Below are 23,237 nucleotides of genomic sequence, written 5' to 3'. Positions count from 1 at the left end.
GATATCATCTTTCCAAATTAAAAAAATGTTTTCTGTTAGTTGTTTTGGTTTTTGTTTGTTTGTTTTGATGCATGGTCTTGCTCTGTTGTTTACTGTAGCCTCAACTTCCTGGGCATGAGTAATCCTCCCACCTCAGTGTCCCAAGTAACTGGAAATACAGGTGTGCACCACTATGCCTAATTGATTTTTAAAAATTTTCTTATAGAGTCTCACTGTGTTGCCTAGGCTGGTCTGATACATCTGTGTTCAAACAATCCTCCCACCTTGGACTGAAAAAATGTTGAGATTATAGGCACAAGCCATCAAGTCTGGTCAGAAATGTTTTTTTCTTATTTTTTTCTTTCCTTTTTTTTTTTTGAGACAGAGTCTCTTGCTCCATGCCCAGGCTGGAGTGCAATGGCACAATCTTGGCTCACTGCAAGCTCTGACTCCCAGGATCACGCCATTCTCCTGTCTCAGCCTCCTGAGTAGCTGGGACTACAGGTGCCTGCCACCACGCCCGGCTAATTTTTTTGTATTTTTAGTAGAGACGGGGTTTCACGATGTTAGCCAGGATGCTTTCGATCTCCTGACCTCGTGATCTGCCCGCCTTGACCTCCCAAAGTCCTGCGATTACAGGCGTGAGCCACCAGGCCCGGCCCACAAGAATGTTTTTAACAAGCTTTCTTCCTTTCTTCTCCTCTCATCTCCCATATTTATGTCTTCTAGAATCTGAACACTAAATTTTCTTTTTTCCTCACATATAAACAATTATTTAGATTTAACCTTAAGATTTACTGTATATTCTTGCTTGTTGTACATACTGTACATCTTCCTCTATCTTGAATTTATTTATTTTGCTGGACTGTATTCTTAAGAATTTTTTTCAGACAGTCTGAAGTTGGTAAGTTCCTTGTATCCTTTTGTCTTATGTCTTCATTCTTCCCTCACAGCAAATGTTGGCTTGCCTGGGCATGTAATACTTAGACACAAGTTACAGTTCTTCATAACTTTGAAACATTATCTCTCTCTCTTTTAGTTTTTATTACTGATGAATACTATGATACCAAATTAATTCTTCAATCTCTAATAGGTAATATTTGGGTTTTACTTTTTTTCTTGAGGCATTTAGGATTTTTTTCTTTATCAGCTGAAATTTTACCATAATTTAATTTGACGAGCTTTTTGCTTCTTCCTGTTAAGCACTCAGCAGGACCTTTCAATTAGAATCTCAAATCTCTCCTCCAGCTCTGGGGTATTTTATTTTATTTTTTTCTTTTGAGGTTTTCCTCCCCATTATTGTATATTCCCTCCCTTTGTGATACTCTTATTATCCATATGTTGGTTCCTTCTTTCACGTCTCCTAATATCCATCATATACCCATCACATATCCTAATGTGCCATCTGCTTGCATTACTCTCTGGAATAATCCCTTGCCTAATCTTCCAGCTCACTAATTTGCACCTTCAGCAATATGCATCCATTATTCTGCCCATCAATTCATATTTTTGTTTAAAATTCTGAAATAAAATGATTGTCAACTTAGACCCAGCAATAGTTATGCAAACTATAAATTGCCTAAATGGAAAAATACTGGGATTCAGAAAATGTACCTCCTATGTACTCTTTATGTACTCTTAAGTGCAGGAGAAGTAACCCTCATGCTGTTACTTGATTACGTGCTGCAGCAAATGAGGTAATAATTTAAGAAAGAGGAAGACTTAGCATCTAGGGAGTAGGAAATTCAACCCTGGATTTTTTGCTGGATCACAGCGAAAGGAAGTCCCAGGAGACTGAACCAGACTGTAATCAGGCCAAGATGGTAATCAGCCCTCAAGGAAGGATAAAGATGGGGGGATCCAGGAAGGTGGAATCTGGAAAAAGTAGACTCCATACATTATAGAACATATTTGAGACACTGAAAACTTGGAGAAATAATAACTATATATAATGTATCAAAAAAGCACTTAGAAACACCAGGAAAACAAAAACTGTATGAGTGGTAGTAGAATCATAACCTCCCACATGGCTTTATAGTGAATAATATTAATAGAATTTATATTAATGCATATTAATATAATTATACTAATTGAGACAATGCTGCATTATACTAATGGAAACAATCACCCACACTAATGATACAAGTGGTGTCATATGCTATTGGTAGGTCAAGTAAGATGAGAGACGCTGAAAACTGACTGCTGGATTTGGCGATGTAATCTTAACTAGAGCAGCTATGGGGAAATGTGTGTGCCAGACAAGATGATGTGGAGGTTGTGGGAAGCATGAATGGAGTGAGTTTTAAAAGAATTGGAGAAACTGAGGCAGTGTCTCTTGAGAACTTGTGGTCAAGAACAGCAGTGAAAGGAGGGAGGGTAGCTAGGAAGGCTAATGGAATCAAATACCATTCCATGCCTACCAAGACTGGAGATGTTAACCAAGTCCTAAGTTGATGGAAATGCACTGAAAGAGAGTGATGCTGGTGACGCTGGAGAATTGAAGGGGCAGCAGCAGAAACAGAGTACTTGACTAGTCAAGAAGAGATGGGATCTTGGGCACAAGCTGAGGGGATTACAGTTAGAAGCAGGCACAGCCCAGCCATGGTGACATGAAGGCATATGGGGATTCAGTGCAAGAAATTTGCTAGATTTCATAGTAGAAGGTGGCATATTTTTCCTGATTGATTTTATTTTCTCAGTGAAAGGAGAAGCAAGGTCATGAGCTAGAAGGGAAGAGGGAGGAAGAGGGCAGGGAGAGATGTTTGGGAAGAGATGAAAAAGTGGGAAATGGTCATTCCGGCAAATGGGAGGCTGAATAGTCTAGAGAAATAGAGTAGGATTGCCTGGAAGCAGTGAGCACTGGCTCATTGTCTGTGGCCTGAAATTTAGAGGAAGACCAGGTAGCACAATTGTGTGTTTTCTTCTCCAGCCACTGCTCAGGTAAGTTTGTGATACATTTTCTTGCTGTTGTCGTTTATTTTGATTTTTTGAGACAGAGTTTTGCTCTTGTTGCCCACGCTGGAGTGCAATGATGCGATCTTGGCTCACTGCAAGTTCTGCCTCCTGGGTTCAAGCGATTCTCCTGTCTCAGCCTCCTGAGGAGCTGGGGTTACAGGTTCCCACCACCATGCCCCGCTAATTTTTGTATTTTTAGTAGAGATGGGATTTCACCATGTTGGCCAGGCTGTTCTCGAACTCCTGATCTCAGGAGATCCACCCACCTCAGCCTCCCGAAGTGCTGGGATTACAGGCATGAGCCAGCATGTCCAACAAGTTTGTGATAAAAATTTGCATTTAATAAGGATAAGAGTTTTGCCACAAAAGCAAGAGAGATAATGGAATGGGAACTCAGGATATACAAAAGGTTGTGGTTATAATGCACTATGGATTGGGTATGGAGAAAAAAATGGGAACATGAGGTGTGTGATAAAGTCATAGAAATTCATGGGTTTATGAATTGAAGTTTCCCTCAGGACAAGGTATTGCTGGAGTTGGGATACTAGAGGGAAGGAGGCATAAACTTCAGGGATGGGGTTGCAGATTGATCATGGAAACTGAGGTTTTGATTTTTTTTAAAATAAGGACTAGTGAATAGTCGTGGAGGAGGATGAATGAGATAGGATGAAGAACATCATTTGCTTTCCAAAAGTGACAGAGACATTGACATAAAATGAAAAGATACAAAGGTTTTGAAGTACAAAATGCTGTAAATATTCATGTATACATAATTTTTATATCACAAAGACCAGAAAAAAATGCATGGCTTTTGTTGTGGGTTGAATCGTGTGCCCCCCCCATCCCAAAAATATGTTCAAGTCCTAACACCCAGTACCTATGAACATAACTTTATTGACCAACAGAATCTTTGCAGATATAATCAAGTTAAGATGAGACCACATTAGATTAGGGTGGGCCTTAATGCAATGATTTCTGTCCTAAAAAACAGAAGAAACTCTGGACACAGACACACCCAGAGGGAAAACTGCCATGTTAAGATGGAGGCAAAAAGTGGAGTGATACAAGCCAGGGGATGCCAAAGATTGCTGGAAACCGAGTCTAGGAAGAGACAAGGAAGAATTCTTCTCTAGAGCTTTTAGGGAGAGCATGGCCCTGCTGACACCTTGATTTCAGATTTCTATTCTCCAGAAGTGTGAGAGAATTAATCTCTGTTGTTTGAAGCCACCCAGTTTCTGGTACTTTGTTACAGCAGCCTGAGGAAACTAATATAGTTTTCAAACATGCATTAAAAAGCACTGAGAAACTAAGATGAAGAACAAAATATAGACTACATATGACAGCTCAAGAATTATTTTCTGTGGGAGATTGCAGAAGTGACCAAATCCTTCACTCTTGACAATGTGACATTGTAGCCCCTTATTTCTTCAAGAGCTGAAGTCTATTCCCCCATCCCTGGAATGCTGGCATTGTGAATTGTTTTATCTGACAGAATGCACAACTCTGTTCAGTCTCTCAGGCCACTGTGACTGCTTTGACTTCGTGAGTGTGTGACCTGCTGAAGTATAAGACCAAGTGGGGCAGAGATCCCAGTTGAGGGCCCCACCCCACCCCAGGACCCAGCTGGTGCAGTTGACAAGGATGTGTGAGTTCTATTATATGCAGTGTCAACTTAGAAGTTGACTCAGATGCAAGCGTGAGCCTGGCTGAGGCACACTCAAACTACTGATTTATAGAATCATGAGTTAAACACATAGTAGGTTTTGTTTTGTTTTGTTTGTTTGTTTGTTTTTGAGACAAGGAATCTCCTGTCTCAGCCTCCTAAGTGGCTGGGATTACAGGTGCATGCCACCATATGCAGCCAATTTTTTTATCTTTTGTACAGACAGGGTTTTGCCATGTTTCCCAGACTGGTCTTGAACTTCACTGCCTAAGCTTCCCAAAGTGCTGGGATTAAAGGCCTGAGCCAACTCGCCTGGCTCAAATGGTAGTTTTTGAATGCAATAGATAACATATGTCCCAGAACAGAAACCATGTAGGTCACATTCATTGATCATAATGCAATTAAATTCACAAAAGGACATAAAGAGTGTTCTGTAAGTTATTTATTCACCTCAAGATTGAAAGGAACCCGAGGACACTCTTTAAATGCAGGCTTGGATTAAAGAGGAAATCAAAATAATAGTCACATACCATTTGGAAATAAATAAAAGCAAAAGAAGTACATATCCAAAACAGAGGAAAATAGCTTAAAATCATACTCAGAGGAAAACTTGTAACATTCGTTAAATTTATGAAACACAAGAGTGAAAATAAATTAACTTCCATTTCAAGAAAGTGGTAATAACAGTGGTAGCTTATATGCATTGAGGGTTTGTGTGTTCTAAGTCTTTCATGTGTATTACTTCATTTAATTCTCATGTCACACTACAAAATGGGCACTATTATATTGCTATGTTATGGATGAGGACACTGAGGTACAGAGAACAACATGTCTAGTAAAAGGCAGACCAACTACTAAACAATCTAGTACAACAAACTGAGAGGAAGTTTCCAGAGCTCAAGCTTTTTTTTTTTTTTTGGACAGAGTTTTGATCTTGTTGCCCAGGCTGGAGTGCAATGGCACTATCTCAGCTCACTGCAACCTTTGCCTCCTGGGTTCAAGTGATTCTCCTTCCTCAGCCTCCCAATTAGCTGTGATTCTAGGCATGAGCTACCACGCCCCGCTAATTTTTTGTTTTTAGTAGACATGGGGTTTCACCAAGGTTGTCAGGCTGGTCTTGAACTACTGACCTGACGTGATCCACCCGCCTCGGCCTCCCAAAGTGCTGGGATTAGAGGCATGAGCCACTGAGCCTGGCCCCATGCTCTTAACACTGAACTATCTATGTCTCAGATATACAGCAGCAAAACAAAACCAGAGAAAGTGGAAAGCAGATAATGCAGAAGAAACAGAGGTGAAGTGAAGAATATAATTCTCAGGGAATATATAGAGAACGCAAATATATTTAACAAGCAGTATAAATGCTAAATAAAACAACAACCTCAGAAGAAACCTAAGGTTCATCCCCAAATAGGAAATCTATTCTGAATGCTCTAAGAGAGAAATAACACAAACCTACAATGAGGTGATTATTAGAATAAACTTTTCCAGAGAGCAGAACCTGTTAGGAGCTTCTTAACTTATTATATTACTACCACAAATCCTAGTATAATCTTGATAACCAAATTATACCCTAACAGAGCAACAAAAAAAAAAGCCAGAAAACTAAAGGAAAATGTCTCAATGAATAGAACTGCAAAATTTTATGGAAAGCAGCAAACAAAATCCATCAACATATTAAAATTATTACAGTACAACAGTAATGCATGGAAATTCATCATTACTACATTTAGCAATATAATTCATCTTATTAAGAAATATTACTTTCTAAAACATATCACCATGAAAACAAATGTCAATCAACAGATTGAAAGTAAATTTCTTGTTAATACATATAACAGAAGAAAAAAGATCAAAACCTAGAAAAAAATACACACAAAGAGTTCATAAATAAGATGAATACCTAAACAGAAAGAAACAAGGAGTAAATAGCAAGGGGAATACAAAAGAATAAGCTTATAAGAGGATGAAGAGGCAGGGAGAGATGGCTCACACCTGTAATCCCAGCACTTTGGAAGGCCAAGGCAGGAGGATAGCTTGAGCCCAGGAGTTTGAGACAAGCCTGGGCAACATAGTGAGACCTCGACTCTACAAAAAACTTAAAAGAAAATTATCAGGTGCAGTGGTTCACACCTGTAGTTCTAGTTGCTCAAGAGACTGAGGATCGCCTGAGGCTCTAATTGCACCATTGCAGTAAAACCTGGGAGACAGGGTGAGTTCCTGTCTCAAAAAATAAGAGGATGGCCAATATCTCCTACCTGGAAAAATTAACATAATGTAATGCCATAATTGTTCACCTGATGGAAAAAGACTAAAAGGATTAATAAGAGCCAGGTTTTTTTGTTTGTTTGTTTTTGTTTTGAGATGGAGTCTTGCTCTGTCACCCAGGCTGGAGTGCAGTGGCATGTGATCTCGGTTCACTGCAACTTCCACCTCCCAGGTTGAGGCAATTCTCCTGCCTCAGTCTCCTGAGTAGCTGGGATGACAGGCGTCCACCACTTAAGCAAAAACAAACACACAAACCCCAAACTCTGTTCCTAACTATACACAAATATCTGTGTAAATATATAGAAACCGATCTGAAACAACTAAGGTGAAATTTTTAATAACGGTAATTTTGGGAGGGAAATAAAAGTAACAAGAGAGAGGAGGTTGATATAGCAATGGGGACTTTCATTTTAACTTAAAAAAATAAAACATAAGCAAATATTGTCTTAAACATGCATGTAATTTGCATTAGCAAAAAGAGAAATGAAGTCCCAGAAATATGCTGACATTTAAGAAAACACTAGCGATGTGAAGTCATTATCCTCAGCAAACTAATCCCGGAAGAGAAAACCAAACACCACGTTCTCACTTACAGTGGGAGCTGAAAAATGAGAACACATGGACACAGGAAGGGGAACAACACACATTGGGGCCTGTCATGGGGTGGGGTTAGGGGAGGGAGAGCATTAAGAAAAATAGTTAATGCATGCTGGGCTTAATACCTAGGTGATGAGTTGACAGGTGCAGCAAACCACCATGGCACACGTTTACCTATGTAACAAATCTGCACCTCCTGCCCATATACCCCAGAACTTAAAAACAAAACAAAACAAAAACAAAATGCTAGCGGCAAAATAAAGTCTCAAACTGAAAAAGTGACAGACCAATTTTTGGTTCAAATAATGGTTCTCAACCCAGGTGTCATAAAGTAAAGACAAAGAATTTGATTACATATTGCAATTAAGACATACAGCAAATGACTAGAAAAATTATTCTCAACACATATGACGGTTAGTAGCTAATTTCCTTAAGAGGAAATGGTCACAAAACAATGAAGGGGGGAAAATGAACACTTGAAAAATGGGTGAACAGCTAGGCCTGGTGGTGTGTGCCTGTGGTCCCAGCTACTCAAGAGGCTGTTGCAGCGGAATTGTTTGAGCCCAGGGATTGGAGGCTATAGTGAGCTGTGATTGGGCCACTACAGTTCAGCGTGGGTGACACAGCAAGACCTTGTATCTAATTTTTTTTTTTTTTTTTTTGAGACGGAGTCTAACTCTGTCGCCAGGCTGGAGTGCAATGGCGCCATCTCGGCTCCCTCCAACCCCTGCCTCCCGGGTTCAAGCGATTCTTCTGCCTCAGCCTCTTGAGTAGCTGGGACTACAGGCGCCAGCCACCACGCGGCTAATTTTTGTATTTTTAGTAGAGACGGGGTTTCGCCATGTTGGCCAGGATGATCTCGATATCTTGACCTCGTGATCCGCCCGTCTCGGCCTCCCAAAGTGCCGAGATTGCAGGTGTGAGCCAGTGCGCCCGGCCTAAAATTTTTTTTTAGTTAAAAATAAAATAATTAAAAAGTGGGTGAAAGACATGACAAGGCAGTGAAAAGAAAAATGACAAAAAGACATCAACTATGACCACCTTGATTGTTAGCAATAAAACGAAAACCAACATCCTTTTTATATATCAAAGACTAAACGTTTTTATTGTAAATCAAGTGATCCTCAATAGTGTGAGAAAATAGACCCGTTTACATTTTAGGCTGAGTGAAAAAAACAAAAACTGTTTTTCCTCCGTTCTCATATCACAACAATTAACACAGAAGATTTCTGTGACAGCATGTCTGGGGATTTCTCTCGGTCAGTCAAGCACACAATGCATTCTGCTCTGGAAATCAGTTGGGTGTCTTCTAATTCAATTATGAGGCTATCTACCTGGACATAGCTTTAGATTACACAGGGCTCAGTTCCACAAGACTGGCCTCCCACTCTAATACCAATGGCAAGCCCGAGGTTGTTTTACCTGTGCTTCTGACCAACTGGCTATAAATCAGGTTTCCACCACTCCTGATTTAGTTGCATTAATTTGCTCGAACAGCTCACAGCACGCAGGGAAACACATTTACCATTTTATTATAGCGGATATTGGAAAAAATTCAGAAAAAAAGATTCATGGGGCCCTGCATGGGGGGAGGGGCGCACTACCTTCCAGGAAGGTTTATCTAGAAGCTCTCTAAACCCAGCCCTTTTCAGTTTTTATGGAGACCTCATTCTATAGGCATCATGGGTTAAACCATAGGCTATTGGTGATCAACTCAACCTGAGGCTCTCAACCCTCCCTGGACATTGGGGTTGAGGCATTGTCATTCTCAGTCTGAGTAAAAGAATTTACACAAACTGAATTTTAAAACAGATTAGCATAACTGAAAACTTAATTAGATGATTGAATTATCTGGAGCCACACCTTGATATTCCTAACCCAAGCACCCTCATCCAATAAATGCTCCACCCAACTGGCCCCGGAGTCTCTACATGGTTCCAGAGCAGAAGAATATTTATACAACGTATATCACCACTTTTTCTTAAAAGTCTTTTCACTTACATGGGTAATTCTTAAGCTGCCATGCATCAGGGTCAGTGGGAGGGCTTGTTACCACACAGATCTGTGGATCTCCGGGGTTTGTGGGTTGCAAGGATGCTGCTGGTGTCAAAACCACAATGTGAGAACCACAGAACCACTACATGGTTTTCAGTGTTTAAGTGCATTTAATTCATAATGTAGTTGAGCAACAAAGCTTGTAAGTTCTCAGATTGTCCCAAATGTGTCATAAGACATCAAATCAGGAGAACAGTTTCCTACGAGGTGTAGCCTGGGAAAGTTGGGGGTGACTCATGGAAAGGAGGAGTGAAGCTCCGCCCTTTCCGCTGCCAGGCTGCGCCCAAGGCTATTTAAACCCGCCCTGTTGGGGGGCCCGAGCTCAGATCTTCACAGTGCAGAGCAGCGGCTGGAGCGTTTTGCGGGCTCAGCGTGGACTTGGAGCTTACAGCGTCTTACGACTTGGAAGTAGATTCAGAGGATAGGACAGTACACTTGGGTAAGTAAATCTCTGTCTGTCTGTCACATTGGTTTGTTCATTTCCATTTTCTTAAGGAGCACATATGTCACAACAGACAAACACACACACACACACATAAACACACACACAAACTCCTTCATTCTGGGGGTTAGAAAATTGGTAGGGGTCCCTGGGAGCTGCAGGTTTCCTAATCATGTCTGCATCTAAGAACAGTGGGGTCTTGTCTGGCTCTTCTAATGAACGGTCCCCCAGCCCGGACTCCCCAAAATCCATGCTAGCCTCACCCAGCTTCTCCTTCTCCCCTCTCAGAAACTCAGACTTAAGAGGAAGCTCCTCACCAGGGACCTGGAGCTACCATTCACCGTCCCCTAGGGCTTCACCACACTCACCTCTGTCATCAGCAGAATCCCACAAGCTCCCATTTCCCTTTCCTCACCATAATGGGCAATCAATGAAGCCATTGGGCTCTCCCATGTCCTCCTCTGGGGATTCTTTAGAGTCACCACGTTCATCAATAACATACCACATGTTCTTCCTGCCATCACCCAGTAGCTCACCCCTGGCTCTCGGGGAGTCTCCCGTGTCTCCCAGCTACTCTCCAAACAACCCCAGATTTCATCTGGAGTCAGCCCCCCACACCAAGGAATCACCTACAAACTCACGAGCCTCACAGTGCTCCTCCCCTATGTCTTTCATCTCTTCACCCCCAGGCCTCAGGGACTCGCCTGTGTCTCCCAGTTACTCTCCAGCCATCCAGAGGTTTGTGCGGGAGTCAGCCCCATGCACCCAGGAGTCCCCCAGAGACTCACAGGTCTCGGGAGATTATGAGCGGTCCCCCAGCCCTGACTCCTCAAGATTCATGCCTGTCTCACCCAGCTTCTCCCTCTCCCCTCCCAGAAATTCAGACCCAAGGGGCAGCTCCTCACCAGGGATGTGGAAGTACTCTATATCATCCCGCAGGACTTCACCACTCTCACATCCCTCATCAACAGAATTTCACAACTTTACATTTCCCTTTCCTAACCAAGCAGGACAATCACTCATGTCATTGTGCTCTCCTGTGTCCTCCTCTGGAGATTCTTCACAGTCACCTCATTCATCAATAATATATCATATGTTCTTACTGCCATCATCTAGCAGCTCACCCCCAGCCATCAATGACTATCCTGTCTGTCCCAGCTACTCTCCAACTACTCCCAGATTTCAGCGGGAGTCGGTCTCCCACACCCCAGAAACACCTACAAACTCATAGACCTCAGTGAGATCCTCGCCAGTCTCTCTCACGTCTTCACCCCCAGCCCTTACGGACCCTTCTGTCTGTCCCAGCTACTCCAAACATGCCCACATTTCAGCGGGAGTCAGTTCCAGGAACCCAGGGATCACCACCAAGCTCACCACTTTCACTAAATTACTCCTCAGTCTCTAGCACGCCTTTATCCCCAACCCTCAGGGACTCTCCTGTCTGTCCCAGCTACTCTCCAACCACACCCGCATTTCAGCGGGAGTCAGTTGCAGGCACCCAGAAATCACCACCAAACTCACCAATTTCACTGTGTTACTCCCCAGTCTCTCTCATGTCTTCACCATCCCTCAGGGACTCTCCTGTCTGTCCCAGCTACTCTCCAACCACGCCCAGATTTCAGCGGGAGTCAGTTCCAGGCACCCCGAAGTCACCATCAAACTCTCCAGTTTCACTGAGTTACTCCCCAGTCTCTCTCACATCTTCACCCCCAGCCCCCTGGGACTCTCCTGTCTGTCCCAGCTACTCTCCCGCCACGCTCAGATTTCAGCCAGAGTCAGCCTCCTACACTCCGGAATCACCTACAGACTCACAGACCTCACTGAGATCCTCCCTGGTCTCTCTCAGTTCTTTGCCCTCAGCCCACATGGACTCTTGTGTCTCTTTCAGCTACTCTCAAAATTTCTCTAGATTCCAGCTGGAGTCAGTTCCAGGCACCCAGGACACACCACCAAACTCACCAATTTCACTGACTTACTCCCCAGTCTCGCTCATGTTGTCACCCCCAGCCCTCAGGGACTCTTCTGTCTCTCTCAGCTACTCTCCAACCATCTCCAGATTTCACCTGGAGTCAGCTTCCCACACCCAGGAATCACCTACAAACTCACGGACCTTACTGCAACCCTCCCCCATTTCTTTCACCTCTTCACCCCCAGCCTTCAGGGACTCTCCTGTGTCTCCCAGCTCCTCTCCAGACTTCCCCAGATTTCTGCCGCAGTCAGCCCCAGGCACTCAGGAGAACCATAGACACTCACAGGCCTCATGAGACTATCTCCCTATGACCTGTATCTATACAGGGATGGCTCCCACGTATCCCTCAGTGACCCCAAACACATCTCCACTTACACTCAGACACTCCCAGGGCCTGACAGCTACTCCCCGTTACTGTCCTTCACTTCGAAGCCCTGGCCAATCTACCAGCCAACATGACGCAGTTACCTGGCCATTTCTCCACATTTCTCGTGAGGGCCCCACACCCAGCCGCAGAAGAGTCCCTCCTGCATTCCATCCTCACACACAGGCCTGTCCATCTACTTGCTACTGTCACACTCTTGCCAGCAGAAGAGGCCCCTGTAATGGCTGATATCACCACCCAGGCTATCCTCACCGGACAGCTGTGCAGCGGGACCCTCCTGCTGGCCCACGTGGCTGCCAGAGCCCATGCTGACATGAACCTCCAGCATGTCGGCGTCCCTGCGGGCGACACTACCGGTGACATGGCTAGCATGACCCTCCTCCCTGGCAGTGACACTGTTGATGTGAGCCCCAGTTTCAGATCTGTCATTTGTAAATAGGACGATTTTCCCTTTTCTCTCTCTCTTCCATTCACAGGGCTTTTCATTCTCTCTGTTTCTGCCTCCCTTTCAGATATTTACTCACCTTTTTCTCATTCACTACATCTGCCGTGGTCTCGATGAGAGTGTGCCACATAAGTTTCCCCCATTAAAAGTCATGAATTGAGTGGCTTTTAGTATATTTGTGGTTGTGCATATTCAATTTTAATTCGCAATCCATTTTAGAACATTTTATCACCCCCGACCAGAGAAAAACCCTGTAAACATTATTCACTCCTCATTCTGTCTCAAACCCTCTCCCTGACCCTCAGCCCTAGGTAACAACTACATAGAGCGATCAACCTCATATCCATAGATTTGCATATTGTGGACATTTCCTATAAACAAAATTGCACAGTATGTGAGACTTTATGACTGACTTTACACTTAGCACAATATTTTCAAGATTCATCCACATTGTAGTCTTACCCACAGTGGGAAACCATTTTTTTTTTTTTTTTTGGTTTTAGTATCACCGGGTGTTTTCTCCTTCCTTCCTTCCTTCCGTCCTTCCTTCTTTCCTTCCTTCCTTGCTTCCTCCTATTTCTCTCTTACTCCTTCTGCCCTCTCCCATTCATATGCCTTAGGTGCATCCTACATTCTGTGAATTTTTGGGAAATCCTTGACAGTTGCAGGAAAATTGTGTTATTGTTATTATTTACCACTATCTTTCTTTCTTGGTTCTCCATCAATTGTAAACATCTATTGGTTTCTCCCAAGTCACTCAGTATAATTTAATTAGGTACACTTGTTTTTCTTTATACAGCTATTTCTGGAGTATAGGGTCAAATACTCATAAATCCAGTGTAACTCAAAAACTCATCTAATATCCCAATAAACCCATCATAAAGTTGAAAAATCATAAATCAAACCATCATAAGTGATGGTTTGTCTGTGGATATGGGCTTCATCAATTCCATTGTATTCCATAATGCTGTATACCATTAACAATGGCAGACTGACAGGGAGTGGATATTGATAGCATTTTGAAAATCAGTTATCAGAGGGATACATTAACCTGACTGAATAACTGATCTAATTGTTTTAGCACAATGAATGATTATGGGAAATGTTTTGAGACAGAGTAGTACATTTGTGAATGAAATTTTATGGCTTTTTTCACTTAGTAGGAACCTTTGTGTGTGGAAAACTGAGAAAATTGCTTTCTGCTGTAGAGTCTGGCATTCATTGTAGATTAAAGCTTATTTTTCTGTGAATAAATCTTATTCAATAAAGTACTATTCTTTAAAATAAGAAAAAACACTGATGATGTGAAGTCATTATCCTCAGCAAACTAATCCAGGAAAAGAAAACCAAACACCGCATTCTCACTTATAATGGGAGCTTAAAAAGGAGATCACATGGACACAGCAAGGGGAACAACACACACTGGGGCCTTTTGGGAGGCAGAGCATTAAGAAAAACAGCTAATGCATGCTGGGCTTAATACCTAGGTGATGGGTTGACAGGTTCAGCAAACTACCGTGACACACGTTTACCTTTGTAACAAATCTGCACATCCTGCACATATACCCCAGAACTTAGAAACAAAAGGAAACAAAACAAAATGAAAAAACTATAACAAAACCCAAGCAGCCAAATAAAGTTTCAAACTGAGAAAGTGACAGACCAATTTTTGGTTCAAATCATGGTTCTCAACCCAGGTGCCATAAGGTCAGGATAAAGAATTTGATTACATATTGTAAATAAGACATACAGCAAATGACTAGAAAAATTATTCTCAATGTATGGGTGTCTTCTAATTCAATGATGACACTATCTACCGGGACATAGCATGAGATTCCAAAGGGCTCAGTCCCACAAGACTGGCCTCCCACTCTAACAACAATGGGAAGCCCTACGTTATTTTACCTGTGCTTCTTAGCAACTGGCTATAAATCAGGTTTCCACCACTCCCAGTTTTAGTTGCATTAATTTGCTGGAAGAGCTCACAGCACTCAGGGAAAGACTTCCATTTACCATTTTATTATAGCGGATATTGCAAAAAATTCAGAAAAAAGATTTTGGGCCCAGCATGTGGGGAGGGGCGCACTACCATTCAGGAAGTGTTATCCAGAAGCTCTCTAAACCCAGTCCTTTTGGGTTTTTATGGAGACCTCATTCTATAGGCATGATGGGTTAAACCATAGGCTATTGGTGATCAACTCAACCTGAGGCTCTCAACCCTCCCTGGAAATTGGGGTTGAGGCTTTGCCATTCTCAGTCTGAGTAAAAGAATTTACACAAACGGAATTTTAAAACAGATTAGCATAACTGGAAACTTAATGAGATGATTGAATTATCTGGAGCCACACCTTGATATTCCTAACCCGAGCACCCTCATCCAACGAATGCTCCACCCAACTGGCTCCCAAGTCTCTACATGGTTCCAGAGCAAAAGAATGTTTATACAACGCATATCTCCACTTTTTCTTCAAAGTCTTTTCGCTTACACAGGTAATTCTTAAACTGCCATGCATCAGGGTCAGTGGGAGGGCTTGTTACAACACAAATTTGTGGATCTCCGGGATTTGAGGGTTGCAAGGGTGCTGCTGGTGTCAAAACCACAACATGAGAACCACAGAACCACTAGATGGTTTTCAGTGTTTCAGTGCATTTAATTCATAATATATTTGGCCAAGAAAACTTGTAAGTTCTTAGATTGTCCCAAATGTGGCACATGAAATCAAATCAGGAGAACAGTTTCCTACGAGGTGTAGCCTGGGAAAGTTGGGGGTGACTGATGGAAAGGAAGAGTGAAGCTCTGCCCTTTCCGCTGCTAGGCTGCGCCTGAGGCTATTTAAACCCAGCCTGGCGGGCCTGTACTCAGATCTTCGCCGAGCGTAGCAGCGGCCGGAGCGTTTTGCGGGCTCTGCGTGGACTTGGAGTTTACAGCGTCTTGTGACTTGGAAGTGGATTTAGAGGACAGGACAGAACACTTGGCTAAGTGAATCTCTGTCTGTCTGTCTGTCTGTCTCATGGGTTGGTTTATTTCCATTTTCTTAAGGAGCACATACCTCACACCACACACACACACACACACACATACACACATACTCCTTCATTCTGCGGGTTAGAAAATTGGTAGGGGTCCCTGGGAGCTGCAGGTTTCCTAATCATGTCTGCACCTAAGAAAAGTAGGATCTTGTCTGGCTGTTCTTATGAACGGTCCCCCAGCCCGGACTCCCCAAGATCCATGCTAGCCTCACCCAGCTTTTCCCTCTCCCCTCTCAGAAACTCAGACTTAAGAGGAAGCTCCTCACCAGGGATCCGGAGCTACCATTCACCATTCCCTAGGGCTTCACCACACTCACCTCTGTCATCAGCAGAATCCCACAAGCTCCCATTTCCCTTTCCTCACCATAATGGGCAATCAATGAAGCCATTGGGCTCTCCCGTGTCCTCCTCTGGGGATTCTTTAGAGTCACCACGTTCATCAATAACATACCACATGTTCTTCCTGCCATCACCCAGTAGCTCACCCCTGGCTCTCAGGGAGTCTCCCGTGTCTCCCAGCTACTCTCCAAACAACCCCAGATTTCATCTGGAGTCAGCCCCCCACACCAAGGAATCACCTACAAACTCACGAGCCTCACAGTGCTCCTCCCCTATGTCTTTCATCTCTTCACCCCCAGGCCTCAGGGACTCGCCTGTGCCTCCCAGTTACTCTCCAGCCATCCAGAGGTTTGTGCGGGAGTCAGCCCCATGCACCCAGGAGTCCCCCAGAGACTCACAGGTCTCGGGAGATTATGAGCGGTCCCCCAGCCCTGACTCCTCAAGATTCATGCCTGTCTCACCCAGCTTCTCCCTCTCCCCTCCCAGAAACTCAGACCCAAGGGGCAGCTCCTCACCAGGGATGTGGAAGTACTCTATATCATCCCACAGGACTTCACCACTCTCACATCCCTCATCAACAGAATTTCACAACTTTACATTTCCCTTTCCTAGCCAAGCAGGACAATCACTCATGTCATTGTGCTCTCCCGTGTCCTCCTCTGGAGATTCTTCACAGTCACCTCATTCATTAATAATATACCATATGTTCTTACTGCCATCATCCAGCAGCTCACCCCCCGCCATCAATGACTCTCCTGTCTGTCCCAGCTACTCTCCAACTATGCCCAGATTTCAGCGGGAGTCAGTCTCTCACACCCCAGAAACACCTAGAAACTCACAGACCTCAGTGAGATCCTCACCAGTCTCTCTCACCTCTTCACCCCCAGCACTTATAGACCCTCCTGTCTGTCCCAGCTACTCTCCAACCACGCCCACATTTCAGCGAGAAGAGGTCTTGGGGCCAAAACGATCTCAGTCTATTCTGTAACTTTAAATGGGTAAGAAGCCTGGCTGGCTGACATGGAGCTGGGCGTGGAATGCAAGTGCTTCGTAGGCTACTTTTGGTAAGCAGAACTGGCACTGTGGGATGAACCGAATGCCATGTTAAGATGCCCGATGCCAATGCTCATCACATCCCAGAAAAGGTGTTGGTTGATATAGACAGCTGGACGGTGGCCATGGAAGTTGGAATCCGCTAAGGAGTGTAACAACTCAGCTGCTGAATCAACTACTCCTGAAAATGGATGGAGCTGGAGCGTCGGGCCCATATCCGGCTGTTGCCAGCAGTTGAGAGTGGACAGGAGTGGCAGGGGCAGTATGCCCGTGTGAGTGTGGTGGGGGTCCTCCCCTCCCCTCCTCCCCCCTCCCCTGCAGCCCCACAGAGTCTACGCCGGGAGGAGTAGGAGGGCCGCTGCGGTAAGCTTTGAAGCCTAGGGTGTGGGTCCAGGTGGATCCGCCACAGGTGCAGATCTTGGTGGTAGTAGCAAATTTTCAAACGAGAGCTTTGAAGGCCGAAGTGGAGAAGGGTTCCATGTGAACAGCAGTTGAACATGGGTCTCAGGTGAACAGCAGTTGAACATGGTTCATTTGGTCCTGAGAGATAGGTGAGTGCCGTTCCGAAGGGATGGGTGATGTCCTCCGTTGCCCTCAGCCGATTGAAAGGGAGTCGGGTTCAGATCCCTGAATCCAGAGTGGCGGAGATGGGCACCATGAGGCGTCCAGTGCGGTAATGTGACTGACCCTGGAGAAGCATGTGGGAGCGCTGGGGAGGGTTCTCTTTTCTTTGTGAAGGGCAGGATGCCCCGGAATGGGTTCGACCCGAGAGAGGGGACTGTACCTTGGAAAGCATCGTGGTTCTGGTGGCATCTGGTGAGCTCTGGCTGGCCCTTGAAAATCCAGGGGAGACAGTGTAAGTCTTACGCAGGGCCATACCCATGTCTGCAGCAGATCTCCAAGATGAGCAGACTCTGGCATGTTGGAACAATGTAGGTAAGGGAAGTCAGCAAGCCGGATCCGTAACTTCGGGATAAGTATTGGCTGTAAGGGCTGGGTCGGTTGGGCTGGGTGCATGCCACCGCTGGAAGAGGCCCTGCAGCGCCCCCATGCCCCAGGGACGCCTGTCGTGGCCCTCCTCTGCCCCAACCCGCGTGCTGCTCGCTCCCTCCCCCGCCCCCTCTCTCCCTGTCCTCCCCCTCTCTGGTGGTGGCGTGTGGGGGAGGAGGGGTGGCGGTGGCTATACGGCCCCGGTGGCAGGGCATGATCTCCCGTGAGGGGGAGCTGGTGGTGGCGGTGACTCTGGACGCGAGCCAGGCTCTTCCCATGGATTGCCCCAGTTGTGGCCGCCCATGGGGAGCCCGGTGGGTGCTGGCGTGTCCTGTCTTGCTCCGCGCTGTCATGCATTTCAGCGCGGGCAGGGAGTGATTGGGTGTCGGTGGGTGGCGGGCGGGGTGGTTCATTCCCCCACCTCCCCCCGGCCCCATCTGTCTCCTGTTCCCCACTCCGTGGAGGTGGCGGGCCACGTGCTGGTCCCTGCCACCAGGGCGGCGGTTCCGTGCAGCGCCTCGGCTGGTGCTTAGCAGTCGACGTATAGAACTGGTGTGCACCAGGGGAATCCGACTGTTTAAACAAAGCATCGCGAAGGCCCTCGGGGGGTGTTGCAAAGTGATTTCTACCCAGTGCTCTGAATGTCAAAATGAAGAAATTCAATGAAGTATGGGTAAATGGCGGAAGTAACTATGGCTCTCTTAAGGTAGCCAAATGCCTCGTCATCTAACTAGTGACGTGCATGAATGGATGAATGAGATTCCCACTGTCCCTACCTACTTACTATCCAGTGAAACCACAGCCAAGGGAATGGGGTTGGTGGAATCATTGGGGAAAGAAGAACCTGTTGAGCTTGACTGTAGTCTGGCATGGTGAAGAGACATGAGAGGTGTAGAATAAGTGGGAGGTCCCCGGTGCCCCCTATCCCCGTGAGGGGGTGGGGTGGGGTCCTGTGGGCTGCCCATGGAATACTACTACTCTGATCATTTTTTCACTGATCTGGTGAGGCAGGGGGTGAGCCCCGAGGGGCTCTCCCTTCTGGCGCTAAGTGCCCAGCTGCATGCTGGCCGGGTGTTGACCCATTCTGAGGACAGTGCCAGGTGGGGAGTTTGGGGCAGTACACCTGTTGAACAGTAATACAGATGTCCTAAGGCGAGCTCAGGGAGGACAGAAACCTCTTGTGGAGCAGAAGGAGAAAAGCTCGCTTGATTGTGATTTTCAGTGCGAATACAGACTGAAAGCCGGGTTTGACGATCATTCTGACGTTTTTAAGCAGGAGCTGTTAGGAAGTTACCACAAGGGATAACTGGCTCGTTGCGGCCAAGCGTTCATAGGGATGTTGCTTTTTGATCCTTTAATGTTGGTTCTTCCTATCATTGTGAAGTAGAATTCACCAAGCATTGGATTGTTCACCCACTAATGGGGCATGTGAGCTGGATTTAGACCTTCGTGAGACAGGTTAGTTTTACCCTCCGTGATGTGTGTTGTTGCCATGGTAATCCTGCTCAGCATGAGAGGAATCACAGGTTCAGACATGTGCTTGGTTGAGGAGCCAATGGGGTGAAGCTACAGTCTGTTGGATTGTGACTGAACGCCTCTAAGTCAGAATCCCGCCCAAGAGGAAGGATACATCAGCGCCCTGGAGCCTTGGTTGGCCTTGGCTAGCCGGTTCCCCGCCCCCGCTGGTGGGCTGCCTCGCCCTGGGTGGGGTGTGCCCCACCATGTGCCAGGACTGGGTCCGGTGCAGAGTGCCCTTCTTCCTGGGAAGGGTGTGGCTGAAAAGGCGGCCTCCTTGCCCGTCATGCAACACACGTTCGTGGGGAACCTGGTGCTAAACCATTGGTAGACGACCTGCTTCCGGGTTGGAGTTTGGCCACACATGGCCAACCTCCACTTGTGGCTGCTCCTGGGTCAGGCCTCTGGGGTCGACCAGCTGACGCCTGAGGGTGTGAGACAGCTGGCGGCTCGCCATGTCCCAGGTCGACCAGCAGGCCCTCTGGACCGAGCGGTGTGCAGGGGTGCCCGTTGGGATGAGCTGGATCCGGAGCGTCCGCATCTCGGTCGGAACCTCCAGGGTCAACCAGCTGCTGCCCGCGAGCTCCGGACTTAGCCGGCGGCTCCCTGTGTCCCAGATTGGCCAGCAGGCGACCAGTGGCGGTCCCACTGGACGGTGCGGTGCACCCATGTGAGGGCACCTATCCCCGTTCACCCGCGGGTGGCCCTCACCAGCCTCAGCCTTTGGTGGAGCTGGGACCACGTGGAACTCCCTCTCCTACATTTTTTTCAGCCCCACTTTGTTTGCTTCCGCGGTACTTTTAAGAGGGAGTCACTGTTGCCATCAGTCAGTAATACTTCCTCCTTTTGTTTTTTTGGTTTTGTCTTGTGTTTTTTTTTTTTTTTTTTTCCTTTCTTTCTTTCCTTTTTCTGGAGATGGAGTCTCGCTCTGATGCCCAGGCTGGAGCTGGAGCTGGAGTGCAATGGTGCCTTCTTGGCTCACTGCCACCGTTGCCTCTGCCTCCAGGGTTGAAGCGAACAGCAATTTTTGTATTTTGAGTAAAGACGGAATTTCACCATATTGGCCAGGCTGGTCTCGAACGCCTGACCTTCCGCCCACCTCGGCCTCCCAAAGAGTGCTGGGAGTACAGGCGTGAGCCACTGAGCCTGGACAATTCCTTTTTTTCTTCAATCTTATTTTCTGCACACTGCTGTGTATAAATATACATATATATATATATATACACACACACACACACACATACACACATACATACATACAAACACATAAATATGTAGTGATAAAACTATATGGATATTTCCATAATAAATACATGTTTATATTATAAATGTTAATTTTAATGTATGAATATGTATTAAATGAAAACCCATTTCATTTACATATACATGTGTATGTATATCCTTCCTTCCTTCTTTCATTTATTATTTTTAATTTTTGCTTATTTTCTTTCCTTTTTGGGCCTGCCTAGTCTTCTCACTCTGGGCTCTGGTGACAGCCTCCCAAGTAGCTGGGACTACAGGGATCTCTTAAGCCCGGGAGGCAGAGGCTAACGTGGGCTGTGATCGCGCACCTCCACTCCAGCTTAAGTGAGGTGGGGTGAGGTGGGATGGGGTGGGGTGGGATGGGGAGAAAACAATTGATTGTGATCTTAATTACCTTTCAGCTTTATTGATACCCTCTTATTTCCTTGTTTATTGTCATGGGTTATTCTATGTCATTGTCATGTTCATTGTTTGCTTGCTTGCTTGCTTATTTCCTTCCTTCCTTCCTTCCTTCCTTCCTTCCTTCCTTCCTTCCTTCTTTCCTTCCTTACTGGCAGGGTCTTCCTCTGTCTCTGTCGCCCAGGATCACCCCAGCCTCAACGCTTTGGACCGACCAAGCAGTCGTCCTGCCTCTGATCTCTCCCATCCCCATTACTTGGGACTACAGGCACGCACCACAACACTGGTTGACTTTTATGTTGTTTCTCATGTTTTCCGTAGGTAGGTAGGTATGTAAGTATGTATGTATGTATATATGTGAGTGAGATGGGGCTCGGGGTTCTATCATGTTGCCCAGGCTGGTCTCGATCTCTTGTTCTCAAGCAATTCACCTGCCTGCCTCGGCCGCCCACACTACTGCTATTACAGGCGTGAGACACTGCACCTGGCTTATTCTATATTTGCCTGCCTGCCTGCCTGTATATCAATCATCTTGTTTTTAGTACGGATGTGCTCTCGCTTTGTTTTCCATGCTCTGGGCACACATAATCTCTTTTTAAACTTCTATGATTATTATTGCAGGTGTCATCTCACATGTCGAGGTGATGTCAAACTTTAAGGCTCCAGTAATCATCCCACATCGGCCTCCCAGAGTGCTGTGATGACACTTGTGGGCACAGTACGCTCTGGTCATATTTGTCATGTGTCAGTTCTTTCCGTTTTTAGTATGGGGACTGGAAACAAAATTTTGAAACGCATCTCACCAATCTGCCTTTCCTTCCTTCCTTCCTTCCTTCCTTCCTTCCTTCCTTCCTTCCTTCCTTCCTTCTTTCCTTTCTTTCTTTCTTTCTTTCTTTCTTTCTTTCTTTCTTTCTTTCTTTCTTTCTCTCTTTCTTTCTTTCTTTCGACAGAGTTTCACTCTTGACGCCCAGGGTGGAGTACAATGGCGCGATCTCAGCTCACTGCAACCTCTGTCTCCCAGGTTCAAGTGATTCTCCAGCCTCAGCCTTCCCGAGTAGCTGGAATGACAGCAATGTGCCATCATGCCTGACTAATTTTTCTATTTTTAGTACAGATGGGGTTTCTCCATCTTGGTCAGGCTGGTCTTGAACTTCTGACCATTGGAGAATTTTAACTTTCTTGGTGGTTGTTTTTCTTTTTCTTTTCTTTTCTTTTCTTTTCTTTTCTTTTCTTTTCTTTTCTTTTCTTTTCTTTTCTTTCTTTCCTTCTCCTCCCCCCTACCCCCACCCCCAGCCTCCCATGTCCTCCTCCTCCTCCTTTTTCATTTCCTTCAGCTGGGCTCTCTTACTTGTGTTGCTCAGTTGCTCACACTGGTCTCAAACTCCTGGCCTTGACACTTCTCCCGTCACATCCACTGTCTGGTTGTTGAAATGAGCATCTCTTGTAAAATGGAAAAGATGAAAAAACTAAAGAGACAAAAAGCACGGAGTGAACTTTTCTCTTGCCGTCTCCCAGGGTGTACCTTGGACCCAAAAAGACGGAGGGAGTTTGGCTGAGTGGGTTTTCAGTGCTAAATCCTCCTGAGGGCCTCCTTCCCTCTCCCCCTTGTCCCCGCTTCTCCCGCAGCCAAGGCTCCCACCACGGCCATGACATTTTCCATAGGAGAGGTATGGGAGAGGACTGACGCGGCTTCCAGATCTATATCCTGCCAGACGTCTCTGCCTCAGCATCCCCCACCGGCTACCTGCCACCTTCCAGGGAGCTCTGAGGCGGATGCCCCCATCACGTCCCGCTACCCTCCCACAGCTGGCCTTTGCCAGGCAACGGCAGGGGAACCGCTTTGACGCTGCTTTCGAATCCTCCGGCGAAGACTTCCACCAGATGCCCCGG

General features: G+C 45.9%; 1 long non-coding RNA gene and 1 pseudogene across 1 annotated transcript; one reads left to right on the top strand and one right to left on the bottom strand.

The window, feature by feature from the left end:
- Window positions 1–556: 556 nt before the first annotated feature.
- Window positions 557–17,685, bottom strand: LOC105379481 (uncharacterized). The gene is made up of 3 exons (XR_951069.2): window positions 17,588–17,685; window positions 11,368–11,369; window positions 557–568 (listed from the first exon to the last, which is right to left on the bottom strand). It is a non-coding gene; the product is annotated as an uncharacterized LOC105379481 (long non-coding RNA).
- Window positions 17,226–19,804, top strand: LOC110467526 (RNA, 28S ribosomal pseudogene; annotated as a pseudogene).

Source organism: Homo sapiens, chromosome 20 (genome assembly GCF_000001405.40).
Source record: "Homo sapiens chromosome 20, GRCh38.p14 Primary Assembly".
Classification (NCBI taxonomy): domain Eukaryota; kingdom Metazoa; phylum Chordata; class Mammalia; order Primates; family Hominidae; genus Homo; species Homo sapiens.
Note: the sequence above shows the minus strand (reverse complement) of the source record. Positions and strands in the feature narration are given on the sequence as shown.